The 22,376-nt window shown below is 56.1% G+C and overlaps 3 protein-coding genes and 2 non-coding genes across 7 annotated transcripts, besides 4 other annotated features; 4 read left to right on the top strand and 1 right to left on the bottom strand.

Annotated features, from left to right (window-relative positions):
• Window positions 1-604: 604 nt before the first annotated feature.
• Window positions 605-14,197, top strand: GTF2F1 (general transcription factor IIF subunit 1). 2 transcript variants are annotated; one of them, NM_002096.3, is made up of 13 exons: window positions 605-785; window positions 866-912; window positions 1,795-1,867; window positions 4,132-4,325; window positions 6,210-6,380; window positions 10,274-10,458; window positions 11,919-12,072; window positions 12,154-12,215; window positions 12,291-12,410; window positions 12,574-12,647; window positions 12,727-12,865; window positions 13,079-13,196; window positions 13,284-14,197. In NM_002096.3, exons 1-13 carry the CDS (start codon window positions 774-776, stop codon window positions 13,486-13,488), a joined length of 1,554 nt encoding a protein of 517 aa, NP_002087.2. In that variant the 5' UTR covers window positions 605-773; the 3' UTR covers window positions 13,489-14,197. The 2 variants fall into 2 exon arrangements, with proteins under 2 accessions (NP_002087.2, XP_047294666.1); XM_047438710.1 differs by lacking the exons at window positions 605-785; window positions 866-912 and adding an exon at window positions 1,357-1,566.
• On the top strand, window positions 786-848 carry MIR6790 (microRNA 6790). Its single transcript, NR_106848.1, has one exon. It is a non-coding gene; the product is annotated as a microRNA 6790 (primary transcript).
• MIR6885 (microRNA 6885) lies at window positions 4,066-4,131 on the top strand. Its single transcript, NR_106945.1, has one exon. It is a non-coding gene; the product is annotated as a microRNA 6885 (primary transcript).
• Window positions 6,237-6,737: an enhancer, noted in NCBI's record as "H3K4me1 hESC enhancer chr19:6387043-6387543 (GRCh37/hg19 assembly coordinates)". NCBI's record gives its function as "activates a minimal SCP1, AML or CMV promoter by ChIP-STARR-seq in naive H9 embryonic stem cells {active_cell/tissue: H9 hESC(naive)}" and the evidence as "EXISTENCE:reporter gene assay evidence [ECO:0000049][PMID:30033119]".
• Window positions 14,198-17,835: 3,638 nt separating the features above from the next.
• On the top strand, window positions 17,836-18,621 carry PSPN (persephin). Its single transcript, NM_004158.5, has 2 exons — window positions 17,836-18,067; window positions 18,153-18,621. Exons 1-2 carry the CDS (start codon window positions 17,920-17,922, stop codon window positions 18,473-18,475), a joined length of 471 nt encoding a protein of 156 aa, NP_004149.1. The 5' UTR covers window positions 17,836-17,919; the 3' UTR covers window positions 18,476-18,621.
• On the bottom strand, window positions 18,519-20,975 carry ALKBH7 (alkB homolog 7). 2 transcript variants are annotated; one of them, NM_032306.4, is made up of 4 exons: window positions 20,745-20,975; window positions 19,393-19,566; window positions 19,180-19,304; window positions 18,519-18,958 (listed from the first exon to the last, which is right to left on the bottom strand). In NM_032306.4, exons 1-4 carry the CDS (start codon window positions 20,946-20,948, stop codon window positions 18,796-18,798), a joined length of 666 nt encoding a protein of 221 aa, NP_115682.1. In that variant the 5' UTR covers window positions 20,949-20,975; the 3' UTR covers window positions 18,519-18,795. The 2 variants fall into 2 exon arrangements, with proteins under 2 accessions (NP_115682.1, XP_005259715.1); XM_005259658.5 differs by lacking the exon at window positions 20,745-20,975 and adding an exon at window positions 19,752-19,964.
• Window positions 20,252-20,651: a silencer, noted in NCBI's record as "silent region_9949". NCBI's record gives its function as "represses an Ori minimal core promoter by ATAC-STARR-seq in GM12878 lymphoblastoid cells {active_cell/tissue: GM12878}" and the evidence as "EXISTENCE:reporter gene assay evidence [ECO:0000049][PMID:35858748]".
• Window positions 20,252-21,243: a biological region, named in NCBI's record as "H3K27ac-H3K4me1 hESC enhancer GRCh37_chr19:6372537-6373459".
• Window positions 20,321-21,243: an enhancer, noted in NCBI's record as "H3K27ac-H3K4me1 hESC enhancer chr19:6372537-6373459 (GRCh37/hg19 assembly coordinates)". NCBI's record gives its function as "activates a minimal SCP1, AML or CMV promoter by ChIP-STARR-seq in naive H9 embryonic stem cells {active_cell/tissue: H9 hESC(naive)}" and the evidence as "EXISTENCE:reporter gene assay evidence [ECO:0000049][PMID:30033119]".

The following is a 22,376-nucleotide window of genomic DNA, read 5'->3' as shown; positions in this document are numbered from 1 at the left end:
GCGCCCCGACCCCGCCCAGGCTCTGACCCCTCCTGGCTCGGCTCAACGTCACAAGGGTCCCCGCCCCGGTCATTTTGCGGGAATGACGGGGTCCACCCCTTCGGGGTAGGGGGAGGAAATGAACCCCAAACAGACCCATGGGGAGCCAAGCGGCGGTTCGACCCGACCCGAGTAGGCCTCGGTTGCTATGGTGACGCGGCCTTCTGGGCCCCCCAGGTCCAGAGCGGCAAGGCGCATGCGCAAAGTGCCTGGGAGCCCGCAAGGGGGATTCGTCTCCCTCTTCCCACCCAGGATGCCCCACGGTCCTTGGGTGCTGACGTCACGAGAGAGGGCGGTCCCCCATTTGATGAAGTTAACCGCGTTATATACAAGAGCGCCAGCGACAGAGGCCCGTTAGTTTATCTCAGACTCGGCCTAGGTTTGCTGAGTCTAAAAAGGGACCGCGGTGGACCTTTTGAGGTGACCATAGCCGCCGAGGAGCATAAGTGACTGCGCACTGAGGTGGCCACAGTCGCTAAGAAGGTTGCCATCGCGACGCGGCTGCTCGAGGGTTTCGCTTCCGGGTTAGGCGGCCGCAGAAGCGTAGACCGAGTAGCTTGAGCGCCTCTTCCGGTTACCTTTTCCCAGCGCCAGAGGCGCCTAGGGTTGGGGTCCTCGCTCAGGCACAGAGACCCGACACCGAGCGGCGGCTTCCCCGGGATCGAGGGACGCGCACGCCAGAGGAGACGAAAGGAACCCGGGTCGGACCAGATCGGAACCACTGACCATTGCCCATGGCGGCCCTAGTGAGTGTGGATTTGGCGGGGTTCGGGGGTTCCGACGGCGACCTCGGCGACCCCTCACTCACCGCTTCCTCTTTCCGCAGGGCCCTAGCAGCCAGAATGTCACTGAATACGTCGTTCGAGTTCCTAAGTAAGTCCCCAGCCCCATCTCCCACTCCTCTCCACCCCCCAAAAATGAAAACCTTCACGATCTTCTTAGCCAGCCATTTCTGGCCCTGTCTGTGGTTCTCCCTCCAGACCGGGAGAGACTTGGAGGGCAGGGCTGGGATTAAGCTGAGGCTTCTCTGGGGACAACACTGCTTTTTTGAACGAATGAATGAATGAGTGCATTAATACACGGTGATCCAGCCCCCTGGCCTAACCTTCGAGGAGTATATGGTCCCATGATGCCCAGGCCAGCTGTAAGGACATATTCCTCGTCCTGTTTCAAAGTGGTCAGGCTGTCTTTCCTTTCCAGGCCTTTGTACATCCTGTTCCTCTGCCATGAGTGCCTCCCCTCAACCCCTAAACTGTGACTCTGCTGGGTGAATTCTTGATGATTCTGCAAAACTCAACTCCAGTATCTTCCTCCTCCAGGAAATACTCCCTGCCTGTCCTCCCTCCTCCCCAAGGCTGAGTTCACAATAATCTCCACATCTTGGGTTCCCCCAAATCTTCGTCCCTCCATCTGCTCTTCTTCTGCCTGGGGTCAGGAGAGGATGGGTCTAGCTTCTCTGGCAGACTGGGAATCCTTGGAGTCTTCCGTATCCAGTGTTGCCAGGCAAAACAGGCTGAATGAAGCTGGGTGGGTTTGTTGAGTGAATTGAATTGAATTAATGATTCAATTGAATGGAATGATTGAATTGAATTAATGGTTCAATTGAATTGAGTGATTGAATTAAAGTAATGATTTGATTGAATTAACGATCCAGTTGGGTGGTTGATTGAATTAATGGTTCAATAGCATTGACTGATTAAATTAATGATTGAATTGCTGTATTGGATTGACACTACCTCTTCTCATCCACTCCAGGAATACAACCAAAAAATATAACATCATGGCTTTTAATGCAGCCGACAAAGTCAACTTTGCTACGTGGAATCAGGTAAGTCTCTGAGTCCTGGGGGTCAGGGGCTGGGGTGGTGAGAGAACTTGACCCTGACCTTGGTGGTTGTGATAGTTGCTTAACTGTCATAGTCACTAAGTCTTAATTTTCTCACTTTTCTCCAAGTGAAGAAAAGATAGATGACAAAGGGTTGGGTGCAGTAGTTCACACCTGTAATCCCAGCACTTTGGGAGGCTGAGGCAGGAAGCTTGCTTAAGGCCAGGAGTTTGAGACCAGCCTGGGCAATACAATAGCAAGACCCCAACTCTACAAAAAAATTAAAAAGTTAGTTGGGGCTGATAGCGTGGGTCTGTAGTCCTACATAGGAGGCTGAGGTAGGAGGATCGCTTGAGCCCAGGGGTTCAAGGCTGCAGTGAGCTATGATTGTACGACTGCACTCCAGCCTGGATAACAGAGCAAGACCCTGCCTCAAAAAAAAAAAAAAAAAAAAAAAAAAAAAAACGGAAATGGCAAAGGCCCAGGCCTAGCTCCTGGGTGTCCCTGTAAGTTAGGTTTGGTAGGCCCACCAGAGGCCTCTCCTTAAAGGAGAACATTTAGAAGCTGTGCCCACTGTTGGACATTTTTGGCCATGGTTTATCTGGGCAAGGGAGGGGACTGGGCTGGGGGCTTTCCCAGAGCCCCTGCCATCAGAGGCTCTAGAAAGGACTTTGGGAGCCATTAAAGCATCTTCAATTGGGAAGTTGTAGTGTGTGTGATCTGGCTGCTATGGGGAGACAAACTGTGGGTTTGAGGGCAAATAAACGGAGACCAAGGTAGAAGCAACTGGACTGGTCTAGGTGAGTCCTGGCAGGGCACTGGAGGCAGTGGAGGTTATGAGATGTGGCTGATTCTAGAGTGTTTTGGAAATGGTATATATGGACCTTAAATCAAGAGCTTAAGGGTAATTCGGATCACATTAGCCATGTAGGTCACGATAAATTGTTAATTTGTAGAGATTTTGGTGCCTTAATGTCAGCAAGTGTTGCACAATGAGTTTCTTTTTATTTATTTTATTTTATTTTTTTGTGATGGAGTCTCTTGTCATCCAGGCTGGAGTGCAGTGGCGCGACCTGGGCTCACTGCAACCTCCACCTCCCAGGTTCAAGCCATTCTCCTGCCTCAGCCTCCCAAGTAGCTGGGATTACAGGCGCCCACCACCACGCCTAGCTAATTTTTGTATTTTTAGTAGAGACGAAGTTTCGCCATGTTGGTCAGGCTGGTCTTGAACTCCTGACCTCAAGTGATCCACCCGCCTCAGCCTTCCACCATGCCCAGCCTTTTTATTTTTAGGAAATAGATATAGGATCTCACTATGTTGCCCAGGCTGGTCTTTTTTTTTTTTTTTTTTTTTTTTGGGGACTGAGTCTTGCTTTGTCGCCCAGACTGGAGTGCAGCGCCAGGATCTCGGCTCACTGCAAGCTCCGCCTCCCGGGTTCACGCCATTCTCCTGCCTCAGCCTCCCAAGTAGCTGGGATTATAGGCGCCTGCCATCATGCCCGGCTTATTTTTTGTATTTTTAGTAGAGACGGGGTTTCACCGTGTTAGCCAGGATGGTCTCAATCTCCTGACCTCGTGATCCACCTGCCTTGGCCTCCCGAAGTGCTGGGATTACAGGCGTGAGCCACCGCGCCTGGCCTTTTTTTTCTTAAGACAGAGTGTCACTCTATCACCCAGGCTGGAGTGCAGTGGCATGATCTCGGCTCACTGCAACCTCCGCCTCCCAGGTTCAAGCCATTCTGATGCCAGGCTGGTCTTAAACTCCTGAGCTCAAGTGATCCTTCTGCCTTGGCCTCCCAAAGTTCTGGGATTACAGGTGTGAGCCACAGCACAATGAGTTTCGATATGCATGCATTCTGGAGAGATGTGTGGAAATTCTAGGTACTTAGACATTTTTTGAAAAGAATCCTGGAACCAGATGCCTGCTGTAGATAATAGGGAAGTCTAATTAATTACTTCTACATTCCTCAGATAAGGAATTTTGCCTCCGATGGCCTGCTTGATGGTCACCAGGTGGTCTTTTTCTCTTTAATTTTAATTTGGAAATAATTTCAAGCTTTTAAGTTGCAAAAATAGAGCGCAAGGCTCGCCCAAATTCCCTTTACCCAGATTTGTCAAAGGCTACCGTTCTCCTCCCTTGTTGCCAAGTGGTAAGTTGGTTTTGAGAATCTAGAGCTTGGCCTAGGGCAAGGAAGGGCGTTCCTGGAGGGGGGCACTGCGCAAGCAAAGCCAGGGACCCTGAGAGGCTTTGCTTCCTGCTCCCCTAGGCTCGGCTGGAGCGGGACTTGAGCAACAAGAAAATCTACCAAGAGGAGGAGATGCCCGAATCGGGCGCGGGCAGTGAGTTCAACCGCAAGCTTCGGGAGGAGGCTCGGAGGAAGAAGTACGGCATCGTCCTCAAGGAGTTCCGGCCCGAGGACCAGCCCTGGCTGCTCCGGGTCAACGGCAAATCAGGCAGGAAGTAAGTGGTGGGGCGGTGGCGGTGCCGGCTTAGTGACCAGTCCACATCCCCAGGCCTCAACTTACATACTTTGTGGGGTACCCTCTCTGAACCTCAGATTCCCACTGCTGCAGTGGAAGTGCTGGCACTTCCATCCCTGTAGGATTTTATTATTTATTTATTTATTTATTTATTTATGTTATCTTATTTTACTTACTTGTATTTTTTTGAGACAGAGTCTTGCTCTGTCGCCCAGGCTGGAGTGCAGTAGCACGATCTTGGCTCACTGCAACCCACACCTCCCAGGTTCAAGTTATTCTCCTGCCTGAGCCTCCTGAGTAGCTGGGATTACAGGTGCCTGCCACCACCACGCCCAGCTAATTTTTGTATTTTTAGTAGAGACAGGGTTTCACCATATTGGTCAGGCTGGTCTCGAACTTGGCGATCCTCCCGCCTCGGCCTCCCGTAGTGCTGGGATTACAGGCGTGAGCCACCGTGCCCAGCCTACTTATTTATTTTGAGACAGGGTCTCACTCCGTTGCCCAGGCTGGAGTGCAGTGGTGCGATCGTAGCTCACTGCAGGCTCCAACTCCTGGGCTCGAGATCTTCCCACCTCAGCATCCTGAGTAGCTGGGACTATAGGCACGCCCCACCATGCCTGGCTAATTTTTGTATTTTTGGTAGAGATGGGGTCTTGCTGCGTTGCTCAAGCTGGTCTTGAACTCCTGGGGTCAAGTGATCCTCCTACCTTGGTCTCCCAAAGTGCTGGGATTATAGGTATGAGCCACTGCCCAGGCCCTGGGGTTGTGTTTTTGAAGACAGTTCACTGAGTTGGTGCTTGTGCCTGGCTCTGAGGCAGCTCTGAGTGCCACAATGCAGGAAGCTTAGGTGGCCAGCCCTGGGAGCTCATGACACTTGAGATGACCTCTCAGAGGGGGCAGACTGAGGGCAGAACAGGAGGGGTCCAGGTTAGGTTGATGAAGGGTGCTCCAGGCACAGCAGTTGGGTGATAGTGACAGACACAGGCAGCTCACACAGGGCAGTGGGTGCCAGGATGTGCTGGGTCCAGCGGAGCCTTGGAAAGCTGTAGGCAGGGAAGAGGCACTCACCCAGACTGTCCGGAACTTTGGGGTAGAAAAGAATGAGGTAGAGGCCTCAAGGAGGCTGGGCAGTTGTTTAGGCTTGAGGAAATGGTGGCCCGGGCCAGGTGTCCACTTCAGATTTGGCCATGCCATGGCTGGGCGCGGTGGCTCACGCCTGTAATCCTAGCCCTTTGGGAGGCAGAGGCGGGCGGATTACGTGGGGTCAGGGGTTCGAAACTAGCCTGGCCAACATGGTGAAACCCTGTCTCTACTAAAACTACAAAAATTAGCTGGGTGTGGTGGCAGACACCTGTAATCCCAGCTACTCGGGAGGCTGAGGCATGAGAATTGCTTGAACCCGGGAGGTGGAGGTTGCAGTGAGCTGAGATGGTGCCACTGCACTCCAGCCTGGGTGCCAGAGCGAGACTCCATCTCAAAAAAAAAAATTTGGCCATGCCTTCCCGCCCCATCTTCTCACTTGGCTCCTCAGTTTCCCGGGTGTGGCCCACAGATAGCAGAGCTGGAGGCAAATGTAGACAGTTTGACTGCAGGGTTGGGCTCTCCTGAGATAATCTCACACAGTCTTTCCAGAAATGATCCCGATGTGCACACGCCCAGCACTTTGCAGGGTAGGTGCGCCGGCCCTGTTCCCCAGATGTGGAAATTGACGAGGCCCAGGTGGTTGAAGGGCCTGCCCAGGCCTCATGGGCATTTCTTGGTCTTCCTCCTATGGCAAGTGCCATAAAGGAGGCAGGCCCCGGGGGGACACGGGGGGGCTGGGGCTGGTCCCTATGGGCCAGGCCATGACCGTGGCTCCCTGCAGGTTCAAGGGCATCAAGAAGGGAGGCGTAACAGAGAACACGTCCTACTACATCTTCACCCAGTGCCCCGACGGGGCCTTCGAGGCCTTCCCCGTGCACAACTGGTACAATTTCACACCGCTGGCCCGGCATCGCACGCTCACTGCCGAGGAGGCCGAGGAGGAGTGGGAGAGGTGAGTGGGCTGGGTGGTGGCTGGGGACAGAAGTGAGGGAAATGGGGTGCCTTGCCATGGATATATCACCAGGCCCTGTGCTGGGAGCTGGGGACTCAGGGGTAACCAGGGCAGACCCCACTCGGCCGTCTCAGAGCTGTCAGTTCAGGAGGAAACAGATAGGAGGCCTTAGGGCCACAATGGGGCACCCCAGAGGGTGCTGCCAGAGCCAGAGTCTGTGACCCGGAGCTCAAATTGGCAGAGCAGGGTGGGGTCTAACTGCCCCCTTGGCTTTCCGCAGGCTGCAGGTCACACAGCCTGATCCACTGCAGGGCAGCAGCTCCAGGCAGGGCACCCGAGGAGGGTTTCTCTAGCAGTGACATCGGCCTCAGAGGTGGGGCGGGTGCAGTTAAGGGCTGTGGAGGGACACAGTGCATGAGGCCAGTGCAGAGTGACTGTGGGCAGGGGGACGAGGCTGGGGGCCCAGAGCACTTGGTCTTGGATGTATGGCTTTGGATGAGACCGTAGGGCCACCACCACCCTAGGGTGCTTGCAGATGGTGGGGAGGGCACTCTGGACGCATCTACAAATGGCATTTGCACAGGTCACAGATGAGCAGATGCTCAAAGAGTCGATGGCTCCCAAAGGTTAAAAAAACACCTTTTTCGGCTGGGTGTGGTGGCTCACGCCTGTAATCCCAGCACATTGGGAGGCCAAGGCAGGCGGATCACGAGGTCAGGAGATCGAGACCATCCTGGCTAACACGGTGAAACCCCGTCTCTACTAAAAATACAAAAAATTAGCCGGGCATGGTGGCGGGCGCCTGTAGTCCCAGTACTCGGGAGGCTGAGGCAGGAGAATGGCGTGAACTGGGAGGCGGAGCTTGCAGTGATCCTAGATGTTGCCAGTGCACTCCAGCCTGGGCGACAGAGCGAGACTCCGTCTCAAAACAAAACAAATAAAACACCTTTTTCCCTCTTTGGTGTTTTTTTGTTTGTTTGTTTGTTTGTGTGTTTTTTTTTGAACTGAGTTTCGCTCTTGTTGCCCAGGCTGGACTGCAGTGGCGCAATCTCAGCTCACTGCAACCTCCGACTCCTAGGTTCAAGCAATTCTCCTGCCTCAGCCTCCCAAGTAGAGAAATGGGATTACAGGCATGCACCACCACGCCTGGCTAACTTTGTATTTTTTGTAGAGACAGGGTTTCACCATGTTGGCCAGGTGGTCTCAAACTCCTAACCTCAGGTGATCTGCCCCCCTCAGCCTCCCTAAGTGTGGGGATTACATCCGTGAGCCACCACGCCCGGCCTGTTTTAGTTTTGTTGTTTTGTTTTTTTGAGACCGAATCTCGCTCTGTCACCCAGGCTGGAGTGCAGTGGCGCGATCTCAGCTCACTGCAAGCTCCGCCTCCCGGGTTCATGCCATTCTCTGGCCTCAGCCTCCTGGGTAGCTGGGACTACAGGCGCCTGCCACCATGCCCGGCTAATTTTTTTCTATTTTTTTGGTACAGATGGGGTTTCACCGTGGTCTCGATCTCCTGACCTCGTGATCTGCCTGCCTCGGCCTCCCAAAGTGCTGGGATTACAGGCGTGAGCCACCATGCCCAGCCCCTGCTTTAGTTTTTAATCATTTTCTTTGGTTTTAAAATTTCTGAAGAGTCATAGGTTGGCTCAGCTCCAAAAGCAACCCCGGTAAATGGCACGAAGTCAGAGCGTCCTCCCCACCAGGTCATGAGCCTCCGAGCCTGTGGGGCAGTTTCTGTACCCCTGCTCCCCTGGAACAACAGCCCCCAGGTCTGCCTGCCTGCTCCACTTTGGTTGAGTTCCTGGGGCTCCACTGTAAAATCAGTCGATCAATCATTGCTGGGGGGGCAGGTTCGCTTTTGCTGTATTTTCCTTAGAATCTGCTTTGTAAGTTTTAGGGAGAAGAATTTGGCATTTTATAGAATTGTGTAAAACCTGGATGTTAACCAAAGGAGAAATGCCATCTCTTTTTTTTTTTTTTTTTTTTTTTTTTTGAGACAGTCTCACTGTCACCCAGGCTGGAGTGCAGTGGTACCATCTCAGCTCACTGGCTCATTGCAACCTCGACCTCCTGGGTTTAAGCGATTCTGCCTCAGCCTTGCGAGTAGCTGGGACTACACACGTGCACCTCCCCACCTGGCTAATTTTTGTACTTTTAGTAGAGAAGGGGTTTCAGCATATTGCCCAGGCTGGTCTCCAACTCCTGGCCTCAAGTGATCTGCCCGCTTTGGCATCCCAATATGCTGGGATTACAGGTGTGAGCCATGGTGCCCGGCCAGAATGCCATCTCTTGATCAGATGTTAAATCTACTTAGCTAAGAACTGTTCAGGCTGGGCACGTGGAGAGCGGATCGCAAGGTCAAGAGTTCGAGACCAGCCTGGCCAAGAGACCAGCCTGGCCAATTTGGTGAAATGCCATCTCTACTAAAAATACAGAAATTAGCCAGGCATGGTGGCGGGCACCTGTAATCCCAGCTACTCGGGAGGCTGAGGCAGGAGAATTGCTTGAACCCGGGAGGTGGAGGTTGTGGTGAGCCGAGATCACACCATTGCACTCCAGTCTCGGTGACAGATCAAGACTCCAACTCAAAAGAAAAGAAAAGAAAAGAAAAGAACAAATGGTGATGGTGTCTCGCCATGTTGCTCAGGCTGGTCTCAAACTCCTGGGTTCAAGCGAGCCTCCAGCCTCGGCCTCCCCTCCCAAAGTGCTGGGATGACAGGCTTGAGCCACTGCACCAAACTGTCACTGTTTTTTGGTGCATGGCTCAGTGTGGTAAAGCCACTCACAGTGTTAAGCAGCAGTTTCATTATCTTTCACACCAGCCTGGGCCTTGCCCATGTTAGATGCATTCCTATTAAATGCAGTCCTTTTTTTTTTTTTGGAGACAGATTCTTACTCTGTCACCGAGGCTGGAGTGCTGTGGGGCAATCTTAGCTTACTGCAACCTCTGCCTCCTGGGTTCAATTGATTCTCCTCCCTCAGCCTCCTGAGTAGTCAGGACTACAGGCACATGCCACCACGCCCGGCTAATTTTTTAATTTTTTGTAGGGATGAGGTTTCACCATGTTGTTCAGGCTGTTCTCAAACTCCTGACCTCAGGTGATCCACTTGCCTCGGCCTCCCAAAGTGCTGGGATTACAGGCGTGAGCCACCGCGCCCAACCTGGCCTGCAGTCCTGTTTTTTAAAGCTTCCCTGAGCAATGAGACAACGTTACATTGTTCCAATGGAAACAGTATGTTTTGTCATTAAAGAAAAATACATCTATAAATTAAGATAACAAAAGATCTGGCTGGGCACGGTGGCTCACACCTGTAATCCCAGCACTTTGGGAGGCCAAGGTGGATCATGAGGTCAGGAGTTCGAGACCAGCCTGTCCAACATGGTGAAACCCTGTCTCTACTAAAAATACAAAAAAAAAAAAAAATTAGCTGGGCGTGGTGGCAGGCGCCTGGAACCCCGGCTATCTGGGAGGCTGAGTCAGGAGAATTGCTTGAAGCCAGGAGGCGGAGGTTGCAGTGAGCCGAGATCACATCACTGCACTCCAGTCTGGGCGACAGAGCGATACTCTGTCTCAGAAAATAAAAAAATAATAATAAAAAATAGCAAGAAACCAGTGTGACTGGATTGGGGCCAGACTCTGAGTCCGAGGGAGGTGCTGAGACTCCAGCAGCACATGGGGACCTGCTCTTTGAGGGACTCGGGGCAGAACGGGAAGGCAGGAAGGGCTGGCTCTATCCGTGTGGTTTCAGGGAGTCCTGTGCCACAGCCCAAGTCCCCGGGGGCCACATCACCTTGAAGGCTATGTGGGTGGTGCCCTGGGGCTCGCCCCCTGCAAGCACAGATGCAGGGTGGTGCCAGGCCCGGCATGAGCCCCCCTGTGCCTGGCCCGCAGGAGGAACAAGGTGCTGAACCACTTCAGCATCATGCAGCAGCGGCGGCTCAAGGATCAGGACCAGGACGAGGATGAGGAGGAGAAGGAGAAACGTGGCCGCAGGAAGGCGAGCGAGCTGCGCATCCACGACCTGGAGGACGACCTGGAGATGTCGTCCGATGCCAGTGATGCCAGTGGTGAGGAGGGTGAGTACGGGCGCCTGGGCATTAGGTCACAGAGGTGCCTGCTCAGGCAGTGCCAGTGAAGGCAAAGTCTACCATCGCTCACAGTGGCCCTAGAATGAGAGGCAAGTGGGGCCGGGCACAGTGGCTCACGCCTGTCATCCCAGCACTTTGAGAGGCTGAGGCAGGCAGATCACCTGAGATCAGGAGTTTGAGACCAGCCTGGCCAACACAGTGAGACCGTGTCTCTACTGAAAACACAAAAATTAGCTGGGCATGGTGGTGCATGCCTCTAGTGCCAGCTACTCGGGAGACTGAGGCAGGAGAATTGCTTGAACCCGTGAGATAGAGGTTGTGTTGAGCCGAGATCACGCCACTGGACTCCAGCCTGGGCAACAGAGAGAGACTCCGTCTCAGAGAAAAAAGAATGAGAGTCAGGCGAGGCCGCCTGGAGGAGCAGTGATGTCAGTCAGGAGGCAAGGCCAGAGCCCGGGAGAGCTGAGCCATGGCCCTTCTTTTTTTTTTTTTTTTTTTTGAGACAGGATCTCTCTCTCTCTCACATGGGCTGGAGTGTAGTGGTACAATCACAGCTTACTGCAGCCTTGACCTCCGAGGGTCAAACGATCCTCCCACCTCAGCCTCCTGAGTAGCTGGGACTACAGGCGTGCACCACCACACCCGGCTAATTTTTTTTTTTTTTTTTGGAGACAGAGTCTTGCTCTGTTGCCCAGGCTGGAGTGCAATGGCGCAATCTCGGCTCACTGCAACCTCTGCCTCCCAGGTTCAAGTGATTCTCCTGCCTCAGCCTCCCAAGTAGCTGGGACTACAGGCATGCACCACCATGCTGGCTAATTTTTGTATTTTTAGTAGAGATGGGGTTTCACCATGTTGGCCAGACTGGTCTCAAACTCCCGACCTCAGGTAATCTGCCTGTCTCGGCCTCCTAAAGTGCTGGGATTACAGGCGTGAGCCACCACGCCCGGCCTAATTTTTGTGTTTTTTGTAGAGACTGGGGTCTCACTCACTGTGTTGCCCAGGATGGTCTGAAACTCCTGGGCTCAAGCCATCCTCCCGCCTCAGCCTGCCAAAGTGCTGGGATGACAGGCATGAGCCACTGCACCTGGCCTGGCTGTGGCCTTTACGGGGGTTCCTATGAGAAACTGCAACTCTAGGTTGACCAGTTTCAATAACTCCTGTGCGCTCCGGGCTGTAGGGGCTGTGTCCCTGGTTATCAGGTGCCTCGCCCGGGTGGTCTGGGAGAGGGGGAGTGGTCTGTGAGCGCTAGAGAAGGTGGGTGGGGGTGTGGGGTCTGCCGGGAGTTTGTTTAGGAGAGCTGAGCTCCTGGGCTGGCCCTGGAGGTGTAGTCTCCCCAGTCAGTGAGGCCCCCCAGGATGTCAAAACTGCACAAAATGTGAAAAACACAATAAATACCCACTGCCTTCCTCCTCACTTTCCCTCCTTTCCTTCCTTTCCTCCCTTCCCAGGGGGCAGAGTCCCCAAGGCCAAGAAGAAGGCGCCGCTGGCCAAGGGCGGCAGGAAAAAGAAGAAGAAGAAGGGTTCAGACGACGAGGCCTTCGAGGACAGCGATGATGGGGACTTCGAGGGCCAAGAGGTGGACTACATGTCAGACGGCTCCAGGTGAGGCCGACGGGAGGCGCCTGCGAGACCCCATGCAGCCTCGCGAGCGCGCGCTCATCCTTTGCCATCCCCGTCTTACAGTAGCTCCCAAGAAGAGCCTGAGAGCAAGGCCAAGGCGCCGCAGCAGGAGGAGGGGCCCAAGGGTAGGCGATGGCTGGGCGGGCCGGGGAGATGGGGGCGGTGCTTCCCTGCTCTTGCTCATACCCTGCCCCTCCCAGGTGTCGATGAGCAGAGCGACAGTAGTGAGGAGAGTGAGGAGGAGAAGCCGCCTGAGGAGGACAAGGAGGAGGAGGAGGAGAAGAAGGCACCCACCCCGCAGGAGAAGAAGCGCAGGAAAGGTGCGGCGCATGTGGCCCCCATATTGGAGGCTTGGGTCGGGCCCTGGCGCCCTGCCACCTCCTCCCCTCTCCCCTGCAGGCCTCCCTCATCTGCAGTGGAGGCACCAGTGGGCACCGGGTCCCGGGGTTGCTCTGGCCCTGACCCCTTTCCTGTGCCCCGCAGACAGCAGCGAGGAGTCGGACAGCTCAGAGGAGAGCGACATTGACAGCGAGGCCTCCTCAGCCCTCTTCATGGCGGTAAGGCCCAGCCCGGTGGCGGGGGAGGCCTGGGCGTCTGTTTGCAGACTCACCCACCTCCCAACCCTGACCTCTGCAGAAGAAGAAGACGCCACCCAAGAGAGAGCGGAAGCCGTCGGGAGGGAGCTCAAGGGGCAACAGCCGCCCAGGCACGCCCAGCGCAGAGGGTGGCAGCACCTCCTCCACCCTGCGGGCGGCTGCCAGCAAACTCGAGCAAGGTGAGTGCCCGTGGCCTCCCCGCTCCCCACAGCCACAGCCACAGCCTCCTGACCTCTGTTGGGGCTCAGGACAGAGAGGGGATGGAGATGCGGGTGGAGGCCTGTCTCTCCCTGATCCCCTTGAACCCTAATCCTGGCACTGCCCAGCCTGGGGTCCTGCCCAGGGGTTCTGCCTCCTGCCTGCAAGACTCAGCCCTGACCCCACTCCCACAGGGAAGCGGGTGAGCGAGATGCCTGCAGCCAAGCGGTTGCGGCTGGACACGGGACCCCAGAGCCTGTCTGGGAAGTCGACACCCCAGCCACCATCAGGCAAGACAACACCCAACAGCGGGTAAGTTGACGAGGACAGCAGGGGGCAGGGCAAGGGCTACTGGGGACAATCTCACTGATGCCACCTTCCCCGTCCTCCCATCCTCAGCGACGTGCAGGTGACTGAGGATGCCGTGCGCCGCTACCTGACACGGAAGCCCATGACCACTAAGGACCTGCTGAAAAAGTTCCAGACCAAGAAGACAGGGCTGAGCAGCGAGCAGACAGTGAACGTGTTGGCCCAGATCCTCAAGCGACTCAACCCCGAGCGCAAGATGATCAACGACAAAATGCACTTCTCCCTCAAGGAGTGAGGCTTGGTCCAATACATGGCTCTGCCCCCCAGAACTTAAGGCTCTCACTGCCCCTTCGCCATCCTAGAGTGAGGCTCTGTCCAATACATGGCTCTGCCCTCCAGAACTTCAGGCTCTCAGTGACCCTTCGACATCCTGCTTGCTCCCTGACTCCCAGGGCCCCGTAGTTAGCAATTCTGGAAAAGTTAAGCCATCTCCTCCTCTGGCCCTTCCTTCTGGAATCTTCAGATGCCTGTTAGGCCTTCTTATTGTCCTCCTCCTCCTGGCTCGGCCTCCCTCACACTGACCAAGGGCCTGTGCTGCCCACTGGGTAACTTCTACAGTTCTCCCTTCCACTTCCCTAAGTCTCTCTTCAGCTGTGACTTATCCACCACATAGCCCAGTAAGTCTTCAGTTTTGGCTGGGCATGATGGTGAGCGCCTGCAGTCCCAGCTACTTGGGAGGCTAAGCCCAGTTCAAGGCTGCAGTGAACTATGATGGTGCCACTGCATTCCAGCCTGGGTGACAGAATGAAATCCTGGCACAAAAAAAAAAAAAAAGTAGCCAGGCATGGTGGCGGGAGCCTGTTGTCCCAGCTGTTCCGTAGGCTGAGGCACGAGATTCACTTGAACCTGGGAGGTGGAGGTTGCTGTGAGCTGACACCACGCCACTGCACTCCAGCCTGGGTGACAGTGAGACTCTGTCTCAATAAATAAAAAATAATAATAAATTGCTCAGATTTCTTTGTTTCCTTTTTAGATCTGCTACTCTGTTTGGATAATGTCTTATTCCTTATGTTTTGGTCCCATCTTTCATGGTTTTATTTTTATTTATATTTTAGGTTTTGAGACAGGGTCTTGCTCTGTTCACCAGGCTGGATTGCAGTGTCCACCGTCTTGGCTCCCTGCAACCTCCACCTCTTGGGCTGAAGCGATCCTCCCACCTTAACCTTTCAAGTAGTGCACACCACCACGCCCAGCTAATTTTTTAATTTTTTGTAGAGGTGAGGTCTCACTGTATTGCCCAGGTCAGTCTTGAACTCATGGGCTCAAGCAATCCTCCCACCTCAGCCTCCTGAGTAGCTGGGACCACAGGCGTGTACCATTAAATGCCTGGCTAATGTGTTTTGTTTTTGTTTTTGTTTGAGACAGAGTTTCACTCTTGTTGCCCAGGCTAGAGTGCAGTGGTACAATCTCGGCTTACTGCGACCTCTGGTTCCTGGGCTCAAGCAGTTCTCCTGCCTCAGCCTCCCGAGTAGCTGGGATTACGGGCGCCCGCCACCGCGCCTGGCTAATTTTTGTATTTTTAGTAGAGACGGTGTTTCAGCATGTTGGCCAGGCTGGTCTCGAACTCCTGGCCATAGGTGATCTGCCTGCCTCGTCCTCCCAAAGTACTGGGATTACAGGCGTGAGCCACTGCACCCACCCACGCCTGGCTGATGTTTTTATTTTACTCATCCTGACTGAGGTCTGACAATCCTAGAAGCTGAAGTTCCCGGGCATCCTTTTGTTTCTTCTGACTCCCCTTAGTGATAGATTTTCTTGTGATTTGGGATTGGATGCTCATGGCCAGCTGGGGGCTCTGTGGGAATCCGGGGTGGCCTACTTTGCAGGCAGTCCTTCCAGATGGTTCAGCCTTGGCTTTCGCTAGCTACCCAGGAGCGCCAGCCCCAGCCCATTTTGTGTGTGGTTCTCAGCTTGCAGGTGGCCACCAAAGCCAACCCCCCCCACTGCCCCGATTGTGGGTCCCTATGTTTGAGGTTCCCGGTGATGTTTCGGGGGGCTTCTCCCTTCTTACAAGCTCGGTCATGCATATATTTGATCTGGCGTTGCCAGGCATTCTGTAAGGGAGGGCTTTTCCAGTTCCTGGAAATGGAACTGGAAAATGTGGCTGGAAACATTAATATGGCTGGAAATGGAATTTGCCTGCAGCCACTACTTTTGAACCCATCTTCCGGGCAATCCCTTCTGTCTTGCCGGTGGTTGGAAACTTGCAGGTGGAAGTCTTCCCCACCCAGTTCTGCAGCCCTTGGCTGCCGAGCAGGAATGCCTGAGATGTCTGGCTAATTCCTCGGAATGTCCCAGTTCAGGCCAACCTCCCTCCCCCTTCTCCCACCAGGCCTTCTTGGGCAGCAGGGAGGCAGCTCTGGAGGGAGCCGCTGCCTCAGCAGTTTCGCCCCAGCCACCCCCACTGCCTGGGCCTTCATGTAAGGAGGCTGGGTGGTGAGGCCCTGTGGTGAGGAGCAGGGGTTTTGCATTCACGGAGGACCTGGGTTCAAATACCAGGACCGTTGCTTAATTCTGGGTGACTTCAGGCTTTTTTTTTTTTTTTTTTGAGATGGGGTCTCGCTCTGTCGCCCAGGCTGGAGTGCAGTGACATGATCTCCGCTCACTGCAGCCTCCGCCTCCTGGGTTCAAGCAATTCTACCTCAGTCTCCTGAGTAGCTGGGATGACAGGCACGCCCCACCACGGTCCAGCTAATTTGTTTTTTGGGTTTCTGAGACGGAGTTTCATGCTGCTGCCCAGGCTGGAGTGCAGTGGTGCAATCTTGGCTCACTGCAGCCTCTGCCTCCTGGGTTCCAAGCGATTCTCCTGCCTCAGCCTCCCGAGTAGCTGGGACTACACCCAGCTAATTTTTTAATAGAGACGGAGTTTCACCATGTTGACCAGGCTGGTCTTGAACTGACCTCAGGTGATCTGCCCACCTCGGCCTCCCAAAGTGCTGGGATTACAGGCGTGAGCCACTGTGCCTCGCCTAATTTTTGTATTTTCGTTAGAGACAGGGATTCACCATGTTGGCCTGGCTGGTCTCAAACTCCCGACCTCAAGTGATCCTCCCACCTCACCCTCCCAAAGTGCTGGGATTATAGGCATGAGCCACTGGGCCCCGCCAGGCTTTTTTGAGACAGTATCGCTCTGTCGCCCAGGTTTGAGTGCAATGGCACAATCTCAGCTCACTGCAACCTCCACCTCTCAGGTTCAAGCAATTCTCCTGCCTCAGCCTCCCGAGTAGCTGGGATTACAGGCGCCCACCACCATGCCCAGCTAATTTTTGTATTTTTAATAGAGATGGATTTCACCATGTTGGTCAAGCTGGTCTCAAACTCCTGACCTCAGGTAATCCACCCGCCTCAGCCTCCCGAGGCATGAGCCACCACGCCAAGCCCAGGCTTTTCTTTCCATCGGAAAATTATCATCTCAATAAGCACTTCAGTAAGAAAAACCACAACATAATCATCGAAGCAATCCCTCACGGATGGAGTTGAGGCCACTTCCAGACTTTCCTAATATGAAGAAGGCATCAGATGTCCCTGTGCTGGCTGTTTCACTTGCCTGTGTGGGAGGAACCCCGCAAACAGGGCTCCTGGGGCAGAGGGTGTAATTTACAATTCCCCAGTAGCAGCTGCTCATCCAAAGAGCTGCTAGCAATTTACACCCCCACCAACAGCACAGGGTGCACCTGGGTCACACGGGTTGTGTGTGAGGGTTTTCTGATTTTCCCCAATCTTGTGGGTGCTTAGAGTCAAGCACCCCTTCGGACAATCACAAGCTGTTTGCTTGTTTTTGCATTCGAAGCTACGGGCACTGCCTTACACTCTAAGTGCCCATCTCTTTCCTCACCAAGCCGAGTAGGAGGGGTTCTGAGGAGCTCCCCTGTACCGGTGAGGGGACTGGGCTCACACGGGGCTGGGTATGGAAGCCTCGAGAGCCCTTATCTGTCTGCATCGTGCTAGACGTTACCATGACCTGGACAGCCTCCATCGCCCCGGGGGCTCTGACATGCTCAGATCCCAGGATGGGGCTGCAGTTATAGGGGTCTCAGGTTGGCCTTCCCGAGACAGGCGTCCCTGTCCCCTTGTGTCCCCACCCTTGGCTGTCCCCAGGCCTCTCCCTTTTCCTGTTTTGATGCTGGCTCAGCCAGGCCCGGAGACAGGGGCATGATGTCCTAATCCTCCAGGCGGGAGCCACCATGGAGGGTTCCCGTGGACTCAGTCCCCTGCCAAGCCACCTTTCCCAGCACTCACATATGCTCCACCTGGCACATGATACACGTGGGGGCTCCTGAGCCCCAGCACCCTGACTTAGTGGGGAGGGACCCCACCGGGGTCCCATGAAGCCCCCTGACTTCCACTCCAGGCAGCAGGTCGGGGGAACACCAGTTGCCTGCCCTGGCCGCCAGCACAGCACTCGTAAATCAGGGGGTGTCTGGGGCGTCGGAAATGGCTGTGTGGAATGTCGGGGTGGGGTAGGCTGGGGGTGAGCCCTTAACTCTTAGAAGGGTGGGGTGTGGGGCAGAAGGAGCAGATGCCTGGATTCGAGGGTGCAGGAGATGGGCTGGTGCAGACGTGGGGCCTCCTGGCTGCAGGGGCCGGCAGTGAAGAGGTTAGCTCCCAGCCCAGGCAGGGCATAAATTTGGGGCACAGCTCCCACTCTCAGGACCTGCCCGTCACAATGGCCGTAGGGAAGTTCCTGCTGGGCTCCCTGCTGCTCCTGTCCCTGCAGCTGGGACAGGGCTGGGGCCCCGATGCCCGTGGGGTTCCCGTGGCCGATGGAGAGTTCTCGTCTGAACAGGTGGCAAAGGCTGGAGGGACCTGGCTGGGTAAGGACTTCCAGGGACCCTCTGTGACTTCCCAACTTTCCCCAGCCCTGACCCTGCTCACTGTCAGCGCCCTTCCCTCCCACAGGCACCCACCGCCCCCTTGCCCGCCTGCGCCGAGCCCTGTCTGGTCCATGCCAGCTGTGGAGCCTGACCCTGTCCGTGGCAGAGCTAGGCCTGGGCTACGCCTCAGAGGAGAAGGTCATCTTCCGCTACTGCGCCGGCAGCTGCCCCCGTGGTGCCCGCACCCAGCATGGCCTGGCGCTGGCCCGGCTGCAGGGCCAGGGCCGAGCCCACGGCGGGCCCTGCTGCCGGCCCACTCGCTACACCGACGTGGCCTTCCTCGATGACCGCCACCGCTGGCAGCGGCTGCCCCAGCTCTCGGCGGCTGCCTGCGGCTGTGGTGGCTGAGGGTGCCCGGCCTGGCACCCAGAAGCTGCAGTGCTGGGGGAGCTCGGCTGACTTATTTATTGGAGACCTGGATGCAGAGACAACGAGGAGGGGAGTGGGCTGGGGCGACCAGCAGTGAGTGCAATAAAGGACACCACTCTCCCGGCCTTGTGACTTTGACCATGTGTCCAGCCAGCCACACCTGGAGCTCCCTATGGGCCAGTGCCATCCTGGGTTCCCCTGCAAATCCCGGCCCCAGCAAGCAGCCACTGCAATGTCCCAGTTAGGCTGTCCATTCCCCAACTTTATTCACAAATCTGGTGTCTGTAGAAAGCTGGGGGTCAGCAGGCTGGGGGCGGCTGTCCAGACTCCCCTGGCCCCATGCCCTCAGGGAGGGAGCGGCAGATCACGGAGATGCGCCGGCCCCGGGGAATCCGGCGTTCCCCAAAGAAGGACTCTTCATCCCGAAGGATCTCATGGGAGAAGTCATAACGGGCTGAGCCCCTGCAGGAAGAAACAGGCTGTGACTGGGTGCAAGGAGGGCAGCCCCTGCTCCAGGCAGACCTGGATTCCAGCCTCCTGGATTCCAGCCCCCTGCTGCCTCCCACACAGACCCTGGGGTAAAGGCGTCTTCGGGGAGGGCTGGATTGAGGGAAAGTACCCAGGGCACAGGGTGGGCGGATGGCACATTCTTGGAGGGGTGGGTGCTGCCTGGATGGAGGTACCTAAGGATGTAGAGGGAGCCCGGCTCCAGCAAGAGTTCCAGCCACTCCCCCGGCTCCTGGGTGTGCACCAGCCGCATAACGCTGGGAGACAGGAGAGACAGGCCGGCGATGGTGGCCCCGCAGAACTGCAAAAGAGGCGTGGGGATGGGTCAGGATCTAACCGGGCCTGCCTACCCCCTGGCTGGGAGTGCCAAGGCACCGTCCTCTGCCCACCTTGATGCTGTCCACGTGGGGCTTGATGTAGCCGCGGGCTTCCAGGTCCAGCACGTGCACGGAGGAGAGCAGGGTCTGGCCGGGGCCAAAGGCGGCCGCCTGCACGCGCTGCAGGATGGCCCGGCTGGCTTCTGACCAGCGCGACTTCTCTGTCTCTCGGAAGCCGTGGATGGCCTGCACAGAGAGCTCGGTTAAGCCTGGGAGCTCCCAGAGGGAACAAGGAAACTGAGGCAAGGAGGGGCAGAAAACGGCAAGGGGCTGGTTTCCCTATGTGACTCTTGACCCTGCCCTCAACTCAAACTCCCCTAGCCCCTCAACTATGGCCCTACCTAGGTGTGACCTCAGTCCTTAGTACTCACCCTGAGGCTACAATTCCAGGTCCCCAATGCTGGCCCGGCCCCAGCATTCAATTGGCTGAATCTCCCTACAACTTGACCCCACCCAAGTGTCCTGTCTCTGTCTCTCAACATCATCTGGCTCCACATCCGTTTCCGCCCCTAACCTTGGTCCCAGGTCGCAAAAGTGCTCTCCCTGACCCCAAGGTCCTCATCCCCCAGGTCCCGCCCCTCCCACAGCCAGAGTTTCAGCCCAGCCCCCACCATAGCCCAGCTCCCAAATCCCTGCAATAGCTACCGACCCCAAAAAGGCCCTGCCCCATCCCAGCATGTGTCTCCCCTATCTCCGCCCCCAGCGTGGTTCTGCCCTCTCTAAACCTCGACTTCCCCGTCCCCCCCACAGCATGGCCCCAACCCATCCCGGCGCTTGACTCCACGGACCCCGCCCCAAGCTTGGCCCCGCCCCATCCATGCGCTCGACGACCTGACCACGCCCCAATCCCAGCCGCCACGTTCTTCTGCACTGTAACTGCTAGCAGCGTAATCGCACCCCAACCCTACACCCGACTCCCTGGCCCCACCCCCACGCTCGACTGCGCTGTAACCGCCCCCAAGCGTGGCCACGCCCCATCCCAGCACTGGTCCCCACTGTCCCCGCCCCCAGCGTGGCCACGCCCCGTCCCTACGCTCGCCTCCTGTCCCGCCCCCAGAGTGCCCCCGCCCCATCCCTGCGCTGTCTCCTTTGTCCCCGCCCCAGCGTGGCCCCGCCCCATCCCTGCGCCCGACCCCCCTGGCCCCACAACCCCAGCACCGTAGCCCCGCCCCCACGCTAAACGGTACTGTAACCGCCCCCAGTGTGGCCCTGCCCGGTCCCGGCGCTCGTCTCCTCTGTCCCCGCTCCAAATCCCCGCTCTAGGTACCGCCCCCAGCGTGTCCCCGCCCCATCTGATGCTCCACGTCCCCAGGCCGCGCCCCCGACGAGCCCCCGTCCCTCGCCCCCGGCGCTGCCGGTCTCACCGCGTCCCAGTGATCGTATTCGTAGCGGCGGCGGCGCAGCTCGGGCTCCAGTTCTCGGCTCAGCGTCTCCTCCTCTGCCGTGCTCAGGAAGCCAGGCCGCACCACGGCCGCGTCCTGCAGGCGGCTCAGCACGGAAGGGCCCGAGCCTCGCACCCAGCTGGGCCCTGGCAGCGTCCGCAGCGCCAGCAGCCCAGTCCCGGCCATAATCCCGGAGCGGGGTCATGAGAGAGGGCAGGGTTGGGGAACGCCCCCGCCAAAAGCCATTGGCGGTACCTGCGGCAGCGATTGACTTCCCTCAGAGTCCCGCCTCTCGCTCATAGCTATTGGTTGCTGCTAGACTCGCCTTCACAGGCTATTGGCCTTTTTCCAGAACCCGCCTCCTCTCTTGAGCTTATTGGGCGCCACCTCCCGCCTGACTTACACCAGTGGCTGAGTCGCAAGTCCGTCTGCAGCTTAGCACCGCCTCTTTAATCATTAGAAAACGTACACCCTAGGGGTTGCCTGGCCAAGACTTCATAAGGGGATATGGGCAGTATCTGGTCTGAAGTCCGGAAGTCAGGGGGACTGGGGCCAAGGCCACGGTTATGGAGTCGACTAGGGCTAGAGGTTAAGGGCAGAGTACAGTCAGGCCGAGATAAGGGTCCGGGGTCAGGGGACTGACGTCAAGGCCACGATTATGTGTGTGGTGGGGCCAGCTATCCAGAGTTAGGGCTTATGGTCAAAGGTCAGAGCGAGGTATCATTCATTTCCCCGTCTCCGTATCACTATTACTTTAGGTTTGAAAATGGCATTATGGTTGTCTTTTTGATTCCTCGGCCGGGCGTGGTGGCTCACGCCTGTAATCCCAGCACTTCGGGAGGCCGAGGCGGGTGGATCACCTGAGGTCAGGAGTTCGAGACCAGCCTGGCCAGCATGGTGAAAACCCGTCTCTACTGAAAATACAAAAAATGAGCCGAGCTTGGTGGCGCGCGTGCCTGTAATCCCAGCGACTCAGGAGGCTGAGGCAGGAGAATTGCTTGAACCCAGGAGGCGGAGGTTGCAGTGAACAGAGATCCCGCCACTGCACTCCAGCCTGGGCGACACAGCAAAACATTGTCTCAAAAAAAAAAAAAAGAGTCATCGTTTTTTACAAACGCAAACTGAAAAAAAAATATTTACAGAAAAAAGATCTCTGGGATTTGCTTCCACATAAATCCAGGCTGTGGGGGCAGGGAGGGGGCGGGTAGGGAAGAATCATCTTTGACCGTGAATTAATTGTTGAATTGGTGTGATAAGTACGTGGGGTCTCATTACCCTGTTTTCTCTACTTTTGTTTATATTTATTTTTATTTGTTTATTTTTGAGACAGAGTCTCACTCTGTCGCCCAACCTGGAGCGCAGTGGCACGATCTCAGGCCCTGAAGATTTGCAACCGCTGCCTCTGGGGTTTAAGTGATTCTCATGCCTCAGCCTCCCGAGTAGCTGGGATTACAGGCAACGAACCATCATGCCCAGCTTTTTTGTTTTGTTTGTTTTTGAGACCGAATTTCGCTCTTGTCACTCAGGCTGGAGTGCAATGGTGCGGTCTTGGCTCACTGCAACCTCTGCCTTCCGGGTTCAAGCGATTCTCCTGCCTCAGCCTCCCGAGTAGCT

This window comes from Homo sapiens, chromosome 19 (assembly GCF_000001405.40).
Source record: "Homo sapiens chromosome 19, GRCh38.p14 Primary Assembly".
NCBI classification, from domain to species: Eukaryota; Metazoa; Chordata; class Mammalia; order Primates; family Hominidae; genus Homo; species Homo sapiens.
This window is presented reverse-complemented; position numbering and strand designations above follow the sequence as displayed.